This window comes from Homo sapiens, chromosome 5, assembly GCF_000001405.40.
Source record: "Homo sapiens chromosome 5, GRCh38.p14 Primary Assembly".
NCBI classification, from domain to species: domain Eukaryota; kingdom Metazoa; phylum Chordata; class Mammalia; order Primates; family Hominidae; genus Homo; species Homo sapiens.
This window is the reverse complement of record NC_000005.10, coordinates 21,494,627-21,510,462: the sequence shown is the minus strand read 5'-3', so window position 1 is coordinate 21,510,462 and position 15,836 is coordinate 21,494,627. Positions and strand designations below refer to the sequence as shown.

Genomic DNA, 15,836 nt, shown 5'->3' with positions numbered 1-15,836 from the left:
AGATGATATAGTTTGGATGTCCCGCCCAAATCTCATGTTGAAACCAGATCCCCAGTGCTGAAGGTGGAGCTTGGTGGGAAGTGTTTGGATCATGGGGTCGAATCCTTAAGGCGTGGCTTGGTGCTGTCTCCATGGTAGTGCACCTACCCCAACACACTCTCTCTCTCTTGTTCCTGCTTTCACCATGTGAAGTGCCTGCTCCTGCTTTGCCTTCTGTCATGAGTAAAAGCTCCCTGAGGCCTCTCCAGAAGAAGATGCCGCTGTGCTTCCTGTACAGCCTGCAGAACTGTGAGTCAATTAAACATTTTTATAATATCCAGTCTCAGATATTTCTTCCTAGCAATACAAGAACAGCCTAATATAACAGCTAAGCAGGGACTAAAGTCATCAAAATTAGAATTGTGCATTTAATTTTGATTGCATTTAATTTTGATTGCATTGAAAAGGCAGATGCTTTGAGGCTAGAATGAGGTAATAACTGTTTTGTTTTGTTTTGTTTTGTTTGCTCTTAACAAATTAGTCTGAATTCAGTCCATAGTAAATTGGAGAGGAACTGGTAGAAGATAAAAGAACTGGTAAAAAGCCATTGTAAATACTCAAGTTTCAAAAACAATTTTGTGGTAAGGGCAAATCCTCAGGTCAAGAAAAGTGTGTTACTAAATTCTGTTACTTTCCAGAAGAAAGATAAAGTCATATGACACAGATTTTACTCCTTACGTTAGAGAGTGTGCTAAGGATACCACCCACATTTTCCAACATTTATTTCCATCATGTTTTATGATCTTCATCTATATTCCATCCTCATTATTTCTAGCAAGTCTATGAAATTTCTTACATTAATAGAAATAATGTATTAATATTCAGCAATGTGCTAAACATTGTTGAAACATTGTCTCAATATTACTCTTGGAAGAGCTCTGAGGTAGACAATATTTCCAATATATGAGTCATGAGGAAACTGAGGAATGGAAAGATTAAACAACTTGTTGAGGGTAGCATAATTGTAAATGGTGAAGACATAATACAAATCCTAGTATCTATGACTCTAATGCTTTAAAAAATCATTATATACACTACGCTGTCTCTGATGTGTGAATCTACCCACTTCTAATTCATTATAACAAGTATTTGTTGCCAGGTAGCATTCTAGGCTTTGGGGATACATCTTTGGAAAAGCTTATAGAAATCTCTGTCCTCAGGGAACTAATATTCTAGGGACTATACAATAAACAATAAGCAAAAATGTAACATGTATAGTGTGTTAGACTGTAGTAAGTACAATGGCAAAAAATTAAGAATGGAGAATGTCTAAGGGGACAGATTGTTTGGACTTTGAATAAAGTGGCTATGGAAAACCTCACTGGGATAATGGCATCTGACCAAAAGCATGAGGAAGATATAGAACAAACCGTATCTGTTGCATGTTTAGTAATAACCAAGAAAATACTGTACGTGAAGCTGAGTGAGAAAATTACATAGTGGAAGGAGGGAAGTCCATAGAAGAATTGGGGGCTTCATGTGGTGGAGCATCTATAAAGCATTGTGCATGTTCTGACTTTTACAATGAATGAAATGAGAGATCAGAGTTTTACACAGAAAAAGGTAATAACCTGATACATGTTTTAAAGTGATTATACAAATTGCTCTTTTGAGGATGTACTGAAGGGTGCCTTATGCAGAATCAGAAACACCTGTTTGCTGGCCATTTCAATAACCTGGGCAATAAATGATGGTGGTTAGCACCAGGATGCTAGTGGTGAAAGTAGCAAAAATGATCAGAATTGAGCTGCATTTTGAACATACAGTTAATAAGTTCTGTGGCATGACAGAAAAATGATTCCATAGTATTTGTATTGAGCAACTTTGTTGATTTGATATTCATACTAAGTCCTAATATTAAACAATGTAGGAATTTCAATGAAAATATGACCAAAGGGAGAAAATGGCTCCCAACCTACTGTAATTAAAGTTCCCTTCTGTTGTTTTAAAATGCTACTATGGATAGAGAAAACAAGATATGGATTTGGAAGAAAATTACCCACAGTCTAATTGTCAGATTTATTGACTTAATGTTACATGGCAATAAAGTTGAAAGAAAAATAAGAAGAAATTCTAAAAGCCAGCATGTTAGATTTATTCCCTCCACAAAAAGAATTGCTAATATTTATAAAGTGAGATAATATGCCAAATACTTGTACTTGGCATAATTGCATTTTCTCAACAAATCCTATATAATCAATATTGTTTTATTTGTATATGTGTGAAAAATCATGACACCTGCAGTTTAAGTTACATTTGTATGAAACAGTCAATATGTGGCAGAGCCAGAATAAAGCCCACGTTTAGATTAAAGGAATTCTCTTTCCATTGCACCACCCCATATTGCCTGTGGAAACCCTAAACAAGCCATTTAAATTTGTTGGAATTCCGTTTTTCAACTTTTTAAAACTAAGAGTCCAATCCTAAATCAAGTTAATGTTTAAATTCTTCACTTATGCTTAGTATGTACATTATTCCAAAATGTGAATTGGTCCCAAATATCATATTCATTCTAACAGAGGACATTAAAAGTTTAAAAGATATCTGTTATATGGCTGAACTGATTATATTTTATCGGAAAGTGAAAGGAACTGAAAGGAACTACTCAGCATATTTCTAATGAGTATACAGAGGAAAAGTATTTTGCCTCATTTAATTTTGTAAAATCTCTCTCTGGCACATAATTCACAGTCTTTTTTTGCCCACAGGAATAGTGAGGCAGATATGTATTAATTCATGTCATAATACAAGAATAGGTAGCGATAAAACACTGGCATTTTCCAAATTGCCAGTATAAAGAATTGTCAGAAGAACATGGGTATTAGCTTCAGATTCTCCAAGGGGTTAACATTTATGTTATCTGTTAAATATGAATTATGTATTAACTTCTCATATTTCATATATAAAACTTTATGCTTTGGTCCTGTTCCTCGGGATGACCTTGATGTAATCAGAAATAATAGTGTTCTTTACCAAAGACATTAATCAATAACTTTATAATATGAAGCACTATGAATATTTAATGGCTTCAGCTTGAATAATTCAAATCCCGTATTACTAAAAAATAAAGTCAATTGAGTGACTGAGAGTTCCATATTCCACAATTCCTACTCTGCTTACTACCTATTCTATTTACTATTCTCTTTACTATTTGAGAAGGGTATGGAGTTGTGTATGTTGCAAACATCACGTATCTTTTGTTCGACTTTCTTGAACACGTCATATTATTTTTTTTAGTTCATTTTCTGAATATAAGTAATTTTTGGCGAATTAATACTTTAAACAAGAGTTCACCTGGAAAGCAGTAGGCAAAATTTCATTAAAAATATTATTTTATTAACATACCTTAAAAATGTAATAGGACAATGCCTCAAAGAACAATTTCAAAATAAAAACACAGAAAACAAATGACCAGCAAAATTGCTCTGAAGTCTTAAAAACAGAAATAAATACTTCAATAATCATAGGTAATATGGAAATCCAATGTATGACTTACCTATAGAAAACCCTTCTGGAATTTCATTTAAATCTAACGTCAATATGAGCTATGTAGGAAGTCCATTAATAAATAAGAATATTATATAGGTACACATGTATATATTAATTTTAAGCCATATGCAGCCCTATTTGAAAATGTTAAAAAAAAATCATCAGGATTAGTCCATACTGATTATTAAAAAATAAAATTGTCATTGCTCATTGTAGAAGATAAATGTCAGCTGTGCAGCAGATGTGTTTATAGCCACCCAGTAATCCTATCGCCTCAATAATGCATTTCCCTTTTTTTAGTTAAAAACTTAATTACATTAAGAAACTGTATGTGTTTAGGAATATGAATATAGAAGGAGTAATCATCGTTTAGTAAAATAAGTTTTACTTGCGTAGTAAAATTTACTGTGTTTGTGAAGATGCTGATAGTACATTACATATGGAGATCCAAGTGCACATAGTCACTAATTCTTTAAACTATGTTTGATATTAGTAATAATTTACTTTACATATATATCGGAATTTAATTGAAAAATAGTAAATGACTGCTAATATACATTATTCTTCTGAGTTGCATTTTTGCTTAATGAAATAGAATTTTTAAAAAAATTGTTTATCTTTATTCCTACTAGATTATACATTTCATGAGAAAAGCATTATCTCTTTATTAGTATATTTGTTTACCTATATTAGAACTTGACTTTGAAATAAACCAGATATAATACCATTGTTGTAGATGTATTTATTGTAGTAAAAATAATATTCTGCATCTGAGTTTTGAGCAAGGAGATTTTACAATCTCCTTTCAGTTAGAAAACTACAAGACCCTCTTAACTGATGTTGGAAATGTAAGTAAAGAAGATAAAAATTAAAATGATAAAGAAAAGCATTTGGGGTATAGTATCACTGTGCTTCCCAGGAGAATGAGTTGTAAGTGCTCACTCCGCATTTTTCAGTAACATATACTTAAAGTAAGCACACAGGGGCTACAGATGCTATTTTTTGGTTCAACATGACCTGAGCAGTTAATTATTTGTAAAGGGAAGAAGCAAGAATAGGCTCAGGGAGGGAGACAGAGAAAGATTGGGTGGGGCGGGGAGGGAGGGAGAGTTTCATCTGTATCTAAAACAGATCAGAAGCAATTTCTTCCTCCAACTCCTCACTTGTCTATTTCTACTAATAAAGAGCAAAACCAGACAAAATAGATTATTGTGTCATTTTTGTTTTCTTATTTTGTAATACACAGAAAAACTCAAGCTGGAGACGGAAATGAACAGATGCATATGGCTGGAAAGACTCAGTGCTAATCTCTACAATGTTGTTTTAATAGAATGGAGACAAGACCACATACTTTCTTACAATAATGAGGATCAATAAAGACAAAACTGACACTTTGTAATGAATAATGATCTGAACAATCACCTGAGAAAGTATCTCTTTGTTGCAGGTTTTTGGAAATGGGCTATATTTTTTGAATCATAACCGATATGTACTGCCATAAACAAGAGGATTTCAAGCCAGCTCCATCTGGTCGAAAATTATTTTATTTATTACTAAGAGAAAAGTGTAAGACAAGTCCTGTGGTAAAAACAGATTTATTGCCTCTGCTATTCACCTGTGTTATTTCTTCATATATTACCATTGACATATATTATCCATTCTTCACAGCAATGGCTTTGCCGTGGCAAATTAAATATCTCATTGTCCTTCTCTGGCCATTTTACATTATAATGTTTCTGAGTAGACTTTTATAGCTCTCTCACAGAATTATAGCAAGTCTTTAAATAAAAACAAAATTGAAACAAAAATTTTAGACTCAACTTAAAATCCCTCTTTATTTTATAATTTGGATTTTTAAGTAAAATATGCTATATCCTATTTAACGAGAACTTTCATATGTAATGTATCAATGGAATTATCTAAAGCTCATTTGGTTTTGCATAAAAACACAATTAGAGTAAAAACATTCTAAAATGGACACTGGAATAAAAACAATGAAAGCAAAACTATTAATTTTACATTTTTCATTCAAGTATTTTGATTTTTACTATATTATATTATTATATTAGGTATTAGAGTAATCATTGATCACTTTCAAAACCCTGCTCCTTTCTAGGTGCAATGAAGAATTTTTATTTTATTGAAAAATTATCTTAAAACGTAAGACTGTGAGTGATAGTAAAGATTTAGTAGACCCAATGTATTCTCAGATAAATGTAAAATAAGCAAGATATGAATTAAAGGGTAAATATAGAGTTTAACAGCATAGATCTTAAAATCCATTATCATAAGGTAGAAGGATGTATAATTTATCATGATTAAAATATACTAAATATTCATATCACAGCATTCTGATTTCTGATATCTACAATTTAGGTGACATATATACATATGTGTGTATATATATATAACTGTATTATTTGATATTTTAAAAGTTAAAAGAGTTATATATTCAAATACCATTCTAGTTGTTGCTCTGAAAGTATTTTTAGATGAGATTAACATGAAAATCAGTAATTTTTGAGTAAAGCAGATTATTTTCCAAAATATTGTAGGGCTCATCCAGTCAATTGATTATATTAAAAGACTGAGATCCCTGAAGGAAATAATTCTGCCTGCAGATTGCCTTTCGTCTTGAGACTGTAACATCAACTTTTCTCTAGGTCTCTTGCTTGCTAGCCTACCCTGCCAATTTTTTATACATTAAAAAATATTTTTCTCAAATACTGTAGTTCTGCTATTTCCAGAAACGCTTGAGGATTGTACTTCCAAGTTCTTTTAAAGTTGATCATGGTCATGAAACTCATCATCAAATGGCATTTGAGCAAAATCTTTATTAATTAAACATGAGTGGAAGTTTCAAGGCCAATGCACAACTCACTCAGGCATTGTGAACTATGTGTGCAGACAGATCACAACTCATCCTTGGTCTCTGGGTGTGTCTGCGTCTATTACTGACTTACTCTGGATATGTAAAATGAGTAAGAAAAACTTTTTGTGTTAGCCACTGGGATTTTTGGTTTGTGTATTACTTTAGCATATTATCTCATTTTGAATGCTATAGTTTAGGACACTAGTTTAAACTACTGAAGTTAAAATGTTCTCCTTATTTCAGAGGATAGAAGGATCTTACAGTGACAGACATCCATTAGTAAGAATTAATTTCTAGAGATAAAATGAATTCAGTAACCACAGTGTCAGTAGAGTCAGCATGGTCAAAATAGTCTACATGGGAAATGCTTGGTGGCTCTTAGTTGATCATGGAGTCTCTAGAACCAAAAGTTATGAATGCCAATTAAGTTTCTATTTGGCTTATATGATCTCAAATCTTCAGGTTTACAAAACATATCTTGAGCCACCACCCAGCTCTGTCACCCAGGCTGGAGTGCAGTGGTACCATCTCAGCTCATTGCAGCCTCCGCCTCGGAGGTTTAAGCGATTCTCATGCCTCAGCCTCCTGAGTAACTGGGACTACAGGTGCTCACCACCATGCAGGGATTTTTTTTCTATTTTTTTGTAGAGACACGGTTTCACCATGTTGGCCAGGCTGCTCTCGAACTCCTTACCTCATGATCCGCCCACCTCAGCCTCCCAAAGTGCTGGGATTACAGGCATGAGCCACTGCACTGAGCCTACAGCTCATTTCTTAACACACAAAGCTTTGCACCTCTCCACAAAACTGCCATCAGGGATGTCCCCAGAAACCATTCATCCCAGGTGCCACGCAGAGAAGAGTTTCTTGTTCTCCTTTTCCCTTTACCTCTTCCCTCTCACCTCATCATGTTCATTCATTCATCCCTTTTCCATTCTCACTTTTAAGCTTTAACCTTTCAAAAGCCTATCTTCCCCTATAAGTAATGTATTGTAACTCCCGCCATCACCATATCCTTCTCCAACCAACCAAACTGCCATCCTGAGTTTATGGAAAGTCCATAAACTAAGAAGAAATGGGAAACATTCATTGCTAACTTGGCAGCCCCTCATCCACCCTACGTGAGAGCACAGATCTTATTGTCTTTGAAGACCCTTTCTTTTCTTTTCTTTTTTTTTTTTTGAGAAGCAGTCTCACTGTCGCCAAGGCTGGAGTGCAGTGGCACAATCTCGGCTCACTGAAAGCTCCAACTCCTGGGTTCACGCCATTCTCCTGCCTCAGCCTCCCGAGCAGCTGGGACTACAGGCGCCCGCCACCACGCCCGGCTGATTTTTTTTGTATTTTCAGTAGAGACAGGGTTTCACTGTTAGCCAGGATGGTCTCGATCTCCTGACCTCATGATCTGCCTGCCTCGGCCTCCCAAAGTGCTGGGATTACAGGCATGAGCCACCGTGCCCAGCTCCTTTTTTTTTTTAAAGACAGGTCTCACTCTGTTGCCCAGGCTCAAGTGCAGTGGTGTAATCATGGCTTACTGCAGCCTCCATCTCCTGTGCTCAGGCTATCCGCCTGCCTCACCCTCCCAAGCAGCTAGGACTACAGGCACACACCACCACACCTAGCTAATCTGTTTAGTTTTTGTAGAGATGGGGGTCCTGCTATGCTGAACAGGCTGGTCTCGAACTCCTGGCCTCAAGCAATCCTCCCACCTTGGCCTCCCAAAGTGCTGGGATGACAGGCATGAGCCACCATGCCTGGTCTGAAGACTTTTAAATGCTGCCATATTCAAGACGCATTGACACTCACCTGTATTCGATGAGCCTACTTTTCGCAAATGAGTAACATAAAACAGACTGAAATACCTTAAGCTTCTCAGCCTTTTACCCTCCTCTGGAATAATGAGTGTATCCCAAAAGTAAATCCATAATGAGGTCCAGTTTTTCCTTCATCCTTGGCTATGAAATAGACAAGAAAAAGGCAAGCTAGCCATTTCCATCTCACTATAGCAGACTCTCATGTTTGCTTTTTGACCGTATGTGGGAAGCGGGGGCCTGACTGCTTTCCTACTTCCTAAGCACAACTTACTTTTCCTAGGAAATTCTCAACACAATCTACATGGATTAAACCAGCTTCCCCCCTTTGTTTCCAATATTCTTACAGCCAAAATGTCCAGAATGGGCAAGGCAACCTGAAAAAATGAGGACGGGTACATTATCCCATGCGCTAAACTGCCACTTACACTGGTTAGTCATGAAATCGGCAAAATTCCAGATGAGCTCTCCAACCACGTATTTTCTGCGTTTTTGATTGAGACCCAGATGGTACTGCTCTAGCAGACTTTTCTGGTACTCTTCACTGAACATCAAGGTGGATCCTGGGATTCAAGGCAAAGAGAATTAAGAGTAAGAACTGGCAGAATTGTAAATGTTAGGTAAAAATAAAGATCCACTTGATGGTGACCAAAATATCTGTCCTCACTGGGGGCTGTAGTGACTGCAGGACTCACTGATGCTAGGGTAAAGACAGCCAGGGAGAAATTGGAAATCATCATTCTCAGTAAACTATCGCAAGAACAAAAAACCAAACACCGCATATTCTCACTCATAGGTGGGAATTGAACAATGAGATCACATGGACACAGGAAGGGGAATATCACACTCTGGGGACTGTTGTGGGGTGGGGGGAGGGGGAAGGGATAGCATTGGGAGATATACCTAATGCTAGATGACGAGTTAGTAGGTGCAGCACACCAGCATGGCACATGTATACGTATGTAACTAACCTGCACAATGTGCACATGTACCCTAAAACTTAAAGTATAATAATAAAAACAACAACAACAACAACAAAAAAAGACAGCCAGGGAATGATGTAACCCAGAATTAAAAAGGAGGTTTAAAAAAAAAACATCAATTAGTAACTGCTTTATTTATAAATATAACCTGATACTCAATTTTTATTACTTTTCCGTCTCTATCTGCTGATACAGTCTTAAAGCTGAACTACACTAGAAGGAAAAATATGTCTTTAGGTCAGGCGCGCTGGCTCATGTCTGTCATCCAAGCACTTTGGGAGACCGAGTTGGGAGGACTGCTTGAGCCTAGGAGTTCAAGACTAGCCTACAAAAAGTACAAAAGTTAGCCAAGCATGGAGGCACACACCTGTGGTCCCAGCTACTTGGGAGGCTGAGGTGGGAGGACTGCTTCAGTCCCGGAGGTCAAAGCTGTGGTGAGCTGTGTTTGCACCACTACACTCCAGCCTGGGTGACAGAACAAGACCCTATCTCATGAATGAATGAATGAATGAATGAATGAATGTAAAATGAAATTAAACTAAACCAGGCTGGGCATGGTAGCTCAGGTCTGTAATCCCAGCACTTTGGGAGGTCGAGGCAGGAGGATCACTTGAGCTCAGGAGTTCAAGATCAGCCTAGGCAACACAGTGAAACCCAGTCTCTATAAAAAGGCTAAATATTCACTAGGTGTAGTGGCGCATGCCTGTGGCTCCAGCTACTTGGGGGGCCGAGGAGGAAGGATCACTTGAGCCCAGGAGGTTGAGCAGTGAGCTGTGATTACGCCACTGCACTCCAGCCTGGGCAACAGAGTACGGCTGTCTCAAAAAAATTTTTTTTTAATTAAACCAAATAAATTCAGTTATCCTAGTCATATATCAAGACCTCAATAGCCACATGTAGCTAGTGGCTACCATTTCAGACAGTGCAGACATGGGGCATTTCCATCATTGCAAAGGTTCTTTTTTGAAACAAGGTCTCACTCTGTCACCCAGGTGGGAGTACAGTGGTGCAATTATGGCGGACTGCAGCCTTGACCTACTGGGCTCAAACAGTCCTCCTACCTCAGCCTCCCAAGTAGCTGGGACTAGAGGCAAGCACGACCATACCCAACAATTTTTTTTTTTTTTTTTTTTGAGACGGAGTCTTGCTCTGTCGCCCAGGCTGGAGTGCAGTGGCACAATCTCGGCTCACTGCAACCTCCACCTCCCCAGTTCAAGCGATTCTCCTGCTTTAGCCTCCTGAGTAGCTGGGATTACAGGTGCATGCCACCACACCCAGCTAATTTCTGTGTTTTCTTAGTAGAGACGGGGTTTCACCATGTTGGTCAGGCTGGACTTGAACTCTTGGCCTCGTGATCCACCCACCTCAGCCTCCCAAAGTGCTGGGATTACAGGCGTCAGCCACTGCACCCAGCCACAACTCATCTTAAATATTTTGTAGAGATGGGGTCCATGTTGTGCAGACTGGTCTCAAACTCCTGGGCTCAAGAGATCCTCTGACCTCGGTCTCCCAAAGGGCTAGCATTCCAGGTGTGAGCCACCACACCCAGCACTGCAGAGGTTCTATCAATGCTCACCTAGACCCTCTCGAGTTTCTTAAGAATTCAGAACTGGGGCTGGGCATGGTGGCTCATGCCTGTAATTCCAGCACATTGGGAGGCCAAGGCAGGTGGATCGCTTGAGGTCAAAAGTTCAAGACCAGCCTGACCAACATGGTGAAACCTCATCTCTACTAAAAAAAAAAAAAAAAAAAAAAATTAGGTGAGCATGGTGGTGCATGCCTGTAATCCAAGCTACTTGGGAGGCTGATGCAGGAGAATTGCTTGAACCTGGGAGGCGGAGGTAGCAGTGAGTCAAGATTGCACCACTACACTCCAGCCTGGGCGACAAGTGAAACTCCTCCTCAAAGGAGAAAGAATTCAGAGCTGGTTACCTTTTCAAAGAGAATGAACAAGGGTGCATATCCACAAACCACTTCCCCCTACTTGACTAGTTTGCAGAAGTGTCATTCTGTAAGCACGATAAATTTAAGGGTGCAAACAGAACAGTGCAGTCCATTGTGGGTGGCTGTTCCCTGTGTGTCAACGGGAGTCCCAGGAGCTGTGCAAAAGAGTGTGAGCTGGCTGGGGAGGGGACAAGGGGCTGGATGGGGTTCAGGAATCCACATGAAAAAAACCCCACAAGACAAAGCAACATATCTTTGGTGAGAAGGACAAAAAATGAGATGGATAAACAAATGAGGACAGGCCAGGCATGGTGGCTCAGGCCTGTAATCCCAGGATTTTGGGACACAGAAGCAGGCAAATCACTTGACGTCAGGAGCTCGAGACCAGCCTGGCCAACATGGCAAAACCCCACCTCTACAAAAATACAAAAATTAGCTGGGCATGGTGGCAGGTGCCTGTAATCCCAGCTGCTTGGGAGGTTGAGGCAGGACAATCGCTTGAGCCTAGGAAGTGGAGGTTGCAGTGAGCTGAGATCACACCATTGCACTTCAGCCTGGGTGACAGAGTGAGACTCCATCTCAAAAAAAAAAAAAAAAAAGACAAAGTGAGTGATTAAACATGGCTCTAAGATCTCACCCATGCCCTCAATAGGTATTATTTAGCATGTGCTGTGTCAGCTATTGCAGAGTACCTGGGAAACAACAATAAATAGGACTCCTGTCTCCTGAGCCCACAGTCCGATCAAAGAGAGAGCCAAAGAAATAACAACGGTGCCTGGCGAGAATGTTGGGAGAGCCAGGTTCCGGCTGCAACAGGGCAGAGCACGGGGAAGGTTCCCTCCGCCTGGGGCAGGCAGGGTAAACCTCCCCACAGAGGGGACAGCTATGAGGAGACTCAGATGCCAAATAGGAATCTTTTCAGCCACGTGTCGTGACTCACGCCTGTATTCCCAGTACTTTGGGAGTCCAAGACAGGAGGTGAAGACCAGCCTGATAGCGAGACTGCATCTCTACAAAATATTTTAAAACTAGGCTGCACATGGTGGTGCACGCCTGTAGTCCCAGCTACTCAGGAGGCTGAGGCAGGGGAATTGCTTCAGCCCAGGAGTTCGAGGCTGCAGTGAGCTATGATGACACCACCACATTCCAGCCTGGGCAACAGAACAAGACCCTGTCAGGAAAAAAATAAATAAAAAAAGGCTAGCACAGTGGATCACACCTGCTAATCCCAGCACTTTCGGAGGCCAAGGCAAAAAGATCAATTGAGTCCAGGAGTTTGAGACCAGCCAGGGCAACATAGCAAGACCCTATCTCTAAAAAAATAAAAAGAAAAGGATCTTTTAGTTGGTGATTATGGTGCCAACATGGGCATTTCAGGCAGAAAGAATAGCTCAAGCAAGAGCAGGAGAGCAAATGAGGGCAGTGGAAACAGATCAGTGGCCAGGAGTGAGAAGAGAAGAGGATGAAAACCCAGGAGAGAACAGAGGACACTGAGTGTCCTGACTAGTGGTTAGGACTTTGTCCTATGGGCCTGGGGGAGCCAATGATAGGACTCAAAAATTTTGATTTGTGGCCGGGCACAGTGGCTCACACCTGTAATCCCAGCGCTTTGTGAGCCTGAGGCAGGAGGATCACTTGATCCCAGGAATTCAAGACCAGCCCGGGGAACACAACAAGGCCCCTTCTCTACAAAAGTAAAAAAATAAGCCAGGCATGTTGGCCTGTGCCTATGGTCCCAGCTACTCAGGAGGCTGAGGTGGGAAGATCGCTCGGGCCCAGGAGGTTAAGGCTGCAGTGAGCAGTGATCGCACCACCGCACTCCAGCTTGGGTGACAGAGAAAGAGGCGGACTCAAAAACACACAAAAATTTGGATTTGTTAGAAAGACCACTTGGGAACGGGTGATAGGAGGCTGTCTGGAAACAAGGCCAGTAAGGAGTCCACCTTTGAGGACCAAGCGAGTGGGACAGAGGCCTGGCTGCTGGTGAGAAGGGAACGTGGACAGGGTAGCGGGAGGTGAGCCCAAAGCTGAAGCAAGGGGAGCACTGCAGTGGGCGCAGGGCAGGGTGGGAGAGGCAAGTGGCATCTCTGCCAAGAGAGAATACACAAGCAGAAAGTTCAACACCGCTTACCTGGTGAAACCCTACAAGCGTTTCCACTCCATACACGCTCTGAATAATGGGATTGTGATGTCTTACACCAGTTCTCAAACTGGGCGGCCAGCTGCAGCTGAATCAACTCCAGGTGCCCGTAGTTGCGATACCAAGAGTAGTAGCTGTTCACACGGATCACATCCACATACAGAGCCTAGGACCAGAGCAGCAGAGCCCGTTCAGCAACCACAAGACCGCATGACTCAGTACTCACATGCTGTGGGGGCTCCTCTGACAGAGAAGGTAAGAAGGGGATGTAATCCCAGCACTCTGGGAGGCTGAGGCAGGAGGGTGGCTTGTGGCCAGGAGTTCGAGACCAGCCTGGGCAACACAGCAAGACCCCAGCTCTACAAAAAATAGTATCAAGAAAATTAGCACGGCACAGTGGCTCATGCCTGTAATCCCAGCACATTGGGAGGCCAAGGTGGGAGGATCACTTGAGCCCAGGAGTTTGAGACCAGCCTGGGCAACATCGTAGGACTCCATTTCTACAAAACAAAACAAAAAGCCTAGAACGGGAAGAGCTGCCTCTCGGGGCTGAGAACATCCAACTGCACCAATTTAGATCCTGAAATTACCCTGCCCCACAAGCAAAAAACATGGTCACAAAGTGGCCCAAAGGAGGCAGGCCTGTGATTGCACACTGACGCTCACGACGTGTGCAGCTGGGAAGGGCTGTGAGAGGCAGAGCAGCTGCCAACACGCAGTCCTCAGCCAAAACCCAGGGCCCCCGCCACTGGAACTGACTCCTCTCCAGGCAGCACTCCCAGCACTGGGCATCCCCTCACCTTGCCCTGGAGAAGCCCTCCCACCCAAGGGGCCAATGCAGTCATTCTCGCAGATAATCTTTTTTCGCTTTATTTGGAAGACAGAGTCTCGCTCTGTTGCCCAGGCTAGAATGGAGTGGCACAATAGTGCAACCTCTGCCTCCCACGATCAAGCGCAGGCGTGGTGGCATGTGCCTGTTATCCCAGCTACTTGGGAGGCTGAGGCAGGAGAATTGCTTGAACCTGGGAGGCGGAGGTTGCAGTGAGCTGAGACTGTGCCACTGCACTCCAGCCTGGGCAACACAGCAAGACTCCATCTTTTTTTTAAAAAAAAAAAAAAAGAATGCTAGTATCAGCCAGGCACGGTGGCTCATGCCTGTAATCCCAGCACTTTAGGAGGCTAAGGCAGGAGGATCACTTGAGCTCAAGAGTTTGAGACTGGCCTGGGCAACATAGTGAGATCCCATCTCTACAAAAACATTTAAAATTAGCCGGGCACAGTGGTGTACACCCGGAGTCCCAGCTACTTGGAAGGCTGAGGCAAGAGGGTTGCTTAGGCCCAGGAATTCAAGGCTGCAGTGAGCTGTGATCACACCACTGCACTCCAGCCAGAGCAACAGAGTAAGACCTTGCCTTCACAAAAAAAAAAAACAAAAACAAAAAAAAACTCAGGTTCCAACCCTGGAGTTACTAAATCAGGATCTCAGAATGCAGAGATCTGGCATTTCAATAAAACTTCCCCTGGAGATTCTGATCAGCCAGGTTTGGGCCAGATGAACTCTAAGCTCACTTAAACCTTTGACATTTTATGAGTCTATTAAATCGAGTACAAAAAATGCTGAGTCCAAACTGGGCAAACAAATCCCATCTCCCTATGCCCAGCCTCCTTAAATTCAGAAAGCCACACTGCCTAGAGAGTAAGCAGAGAGAGAATTGTCATTAACCCAAAGACCATCTTTGAAAACAGACTGGCTGCGGCTGAGTGCGGTGGCACACGCCTGTCACCCCAGCCCTCTGGAAGGCCGAGGCAGGAGGACCACTTGAGCCCAGGAGTTCGAGACCAGCCTGGGCAACATGGCAAGACCCTGTCTCTATCTTTCTAAGTAAAACAAAATAAAAAGCTCAGACTGGCAGCACATGGTTCTTTCCAGCTCTTCCCATGAGCAGGCTTCAGGACAAGCCCAGGCAAAGGCAGGGAGAAATGGGGTGGGGACCCCCAGGCTCACCCCCTTGTCTGCTGCGTAGGTGGAGTTGGTCACAAAGGTCACAGGCTGGGAGGGGTCCAAGGCTTTGGTGTGAGCAATCACCATCCTGTCCACAAAAGAGAGAAGACACAGGTTCCGTCAGTCCGGGAAAGGCTCAGACACCCTCCCATCCTCTCTGTCCCATCTTCCCCTGCCAGAACACAACTGGGGGCCAGGCATGATGGCTCACATCTGTAATCCCAGCACTTCAGGAGGCTGAGGCAGGCAGATCACTGAGGTCAGGAGTTCAAGAACAGCCTGGCCAACATGGCAAAACCCCATTTCTACTAAATATACAAAAATTAGCCAGGCTTAGTGGCACGCATCTGTAACTCCAGCTACTCGGGAGGCTGAGGCACAAGAATTGCTTGAACCCGGGAGGTGGAGGTTGCAGTGAGCCGAAATCACGCTACTGCACTCCAGCCTGGGCCACAGAGCAAGACCCTGCCCCAAAACAAACAAACAAACAAACAAACAAACAAACAAAAAGAAAGAAAAGAAAAAAAAACAAAAAAAAAAACAAAGCACAGAGCCGCTG

At 41.9% G+C, this 15,836-nt stretch overlaps 1 pseudogene across 2 annotated transcripts in view, besides 1 other annotated feature; it reads right to left on the bottom strand.

Annotated features, from left to right (window-relative positions):
* GUSBP1 (GUSB pseudogene 1) overlaps positions 1 to 15,836 on the bottom strand; it is a 129,860-nt pseudogene that overhangs the window by 78,910 nt on the left and 35,114 nt on the right. The window contains exons 5-6 of one of the 2 annotated variants that reach the window (NR_027028.3): positions 15,281 to 15,365; positions 13,267 to 13,441 (exon numbers count right to left, since the gene is read on the bottom strand). The product of NR_027028.3 is annotated as a GUSB pseudogene 1, transcript variant 3 (transcript). Of the gene's footprint in view, positions 1 to 8,636; positions 8,772 to 13,266; positions 13,442 to 15,280; positions 15,366 to 15,836 lie in introns of those variants that run through there. The other variant, NR_027026.2, reaches the window with a different exon arrangement.
* Positions 14,924 to 15,602: an enhancer, noted in NCBI's record as "H3K27ac hESC enhancer chr5:21494970-21495648 (GRCh37/hg19 assembly coordinates)". NCBI's record gives its function as "activates a minimal SCP1, AML or CMV promoter by ChIP-STARR-seq in primed H9 embryonic stem cells {active_cell/tissue: H9 hESC(primed)}" and the evidence as "EXISTENCE:reporter gene assay evidence [ECO:0000049][PMID:30033119]".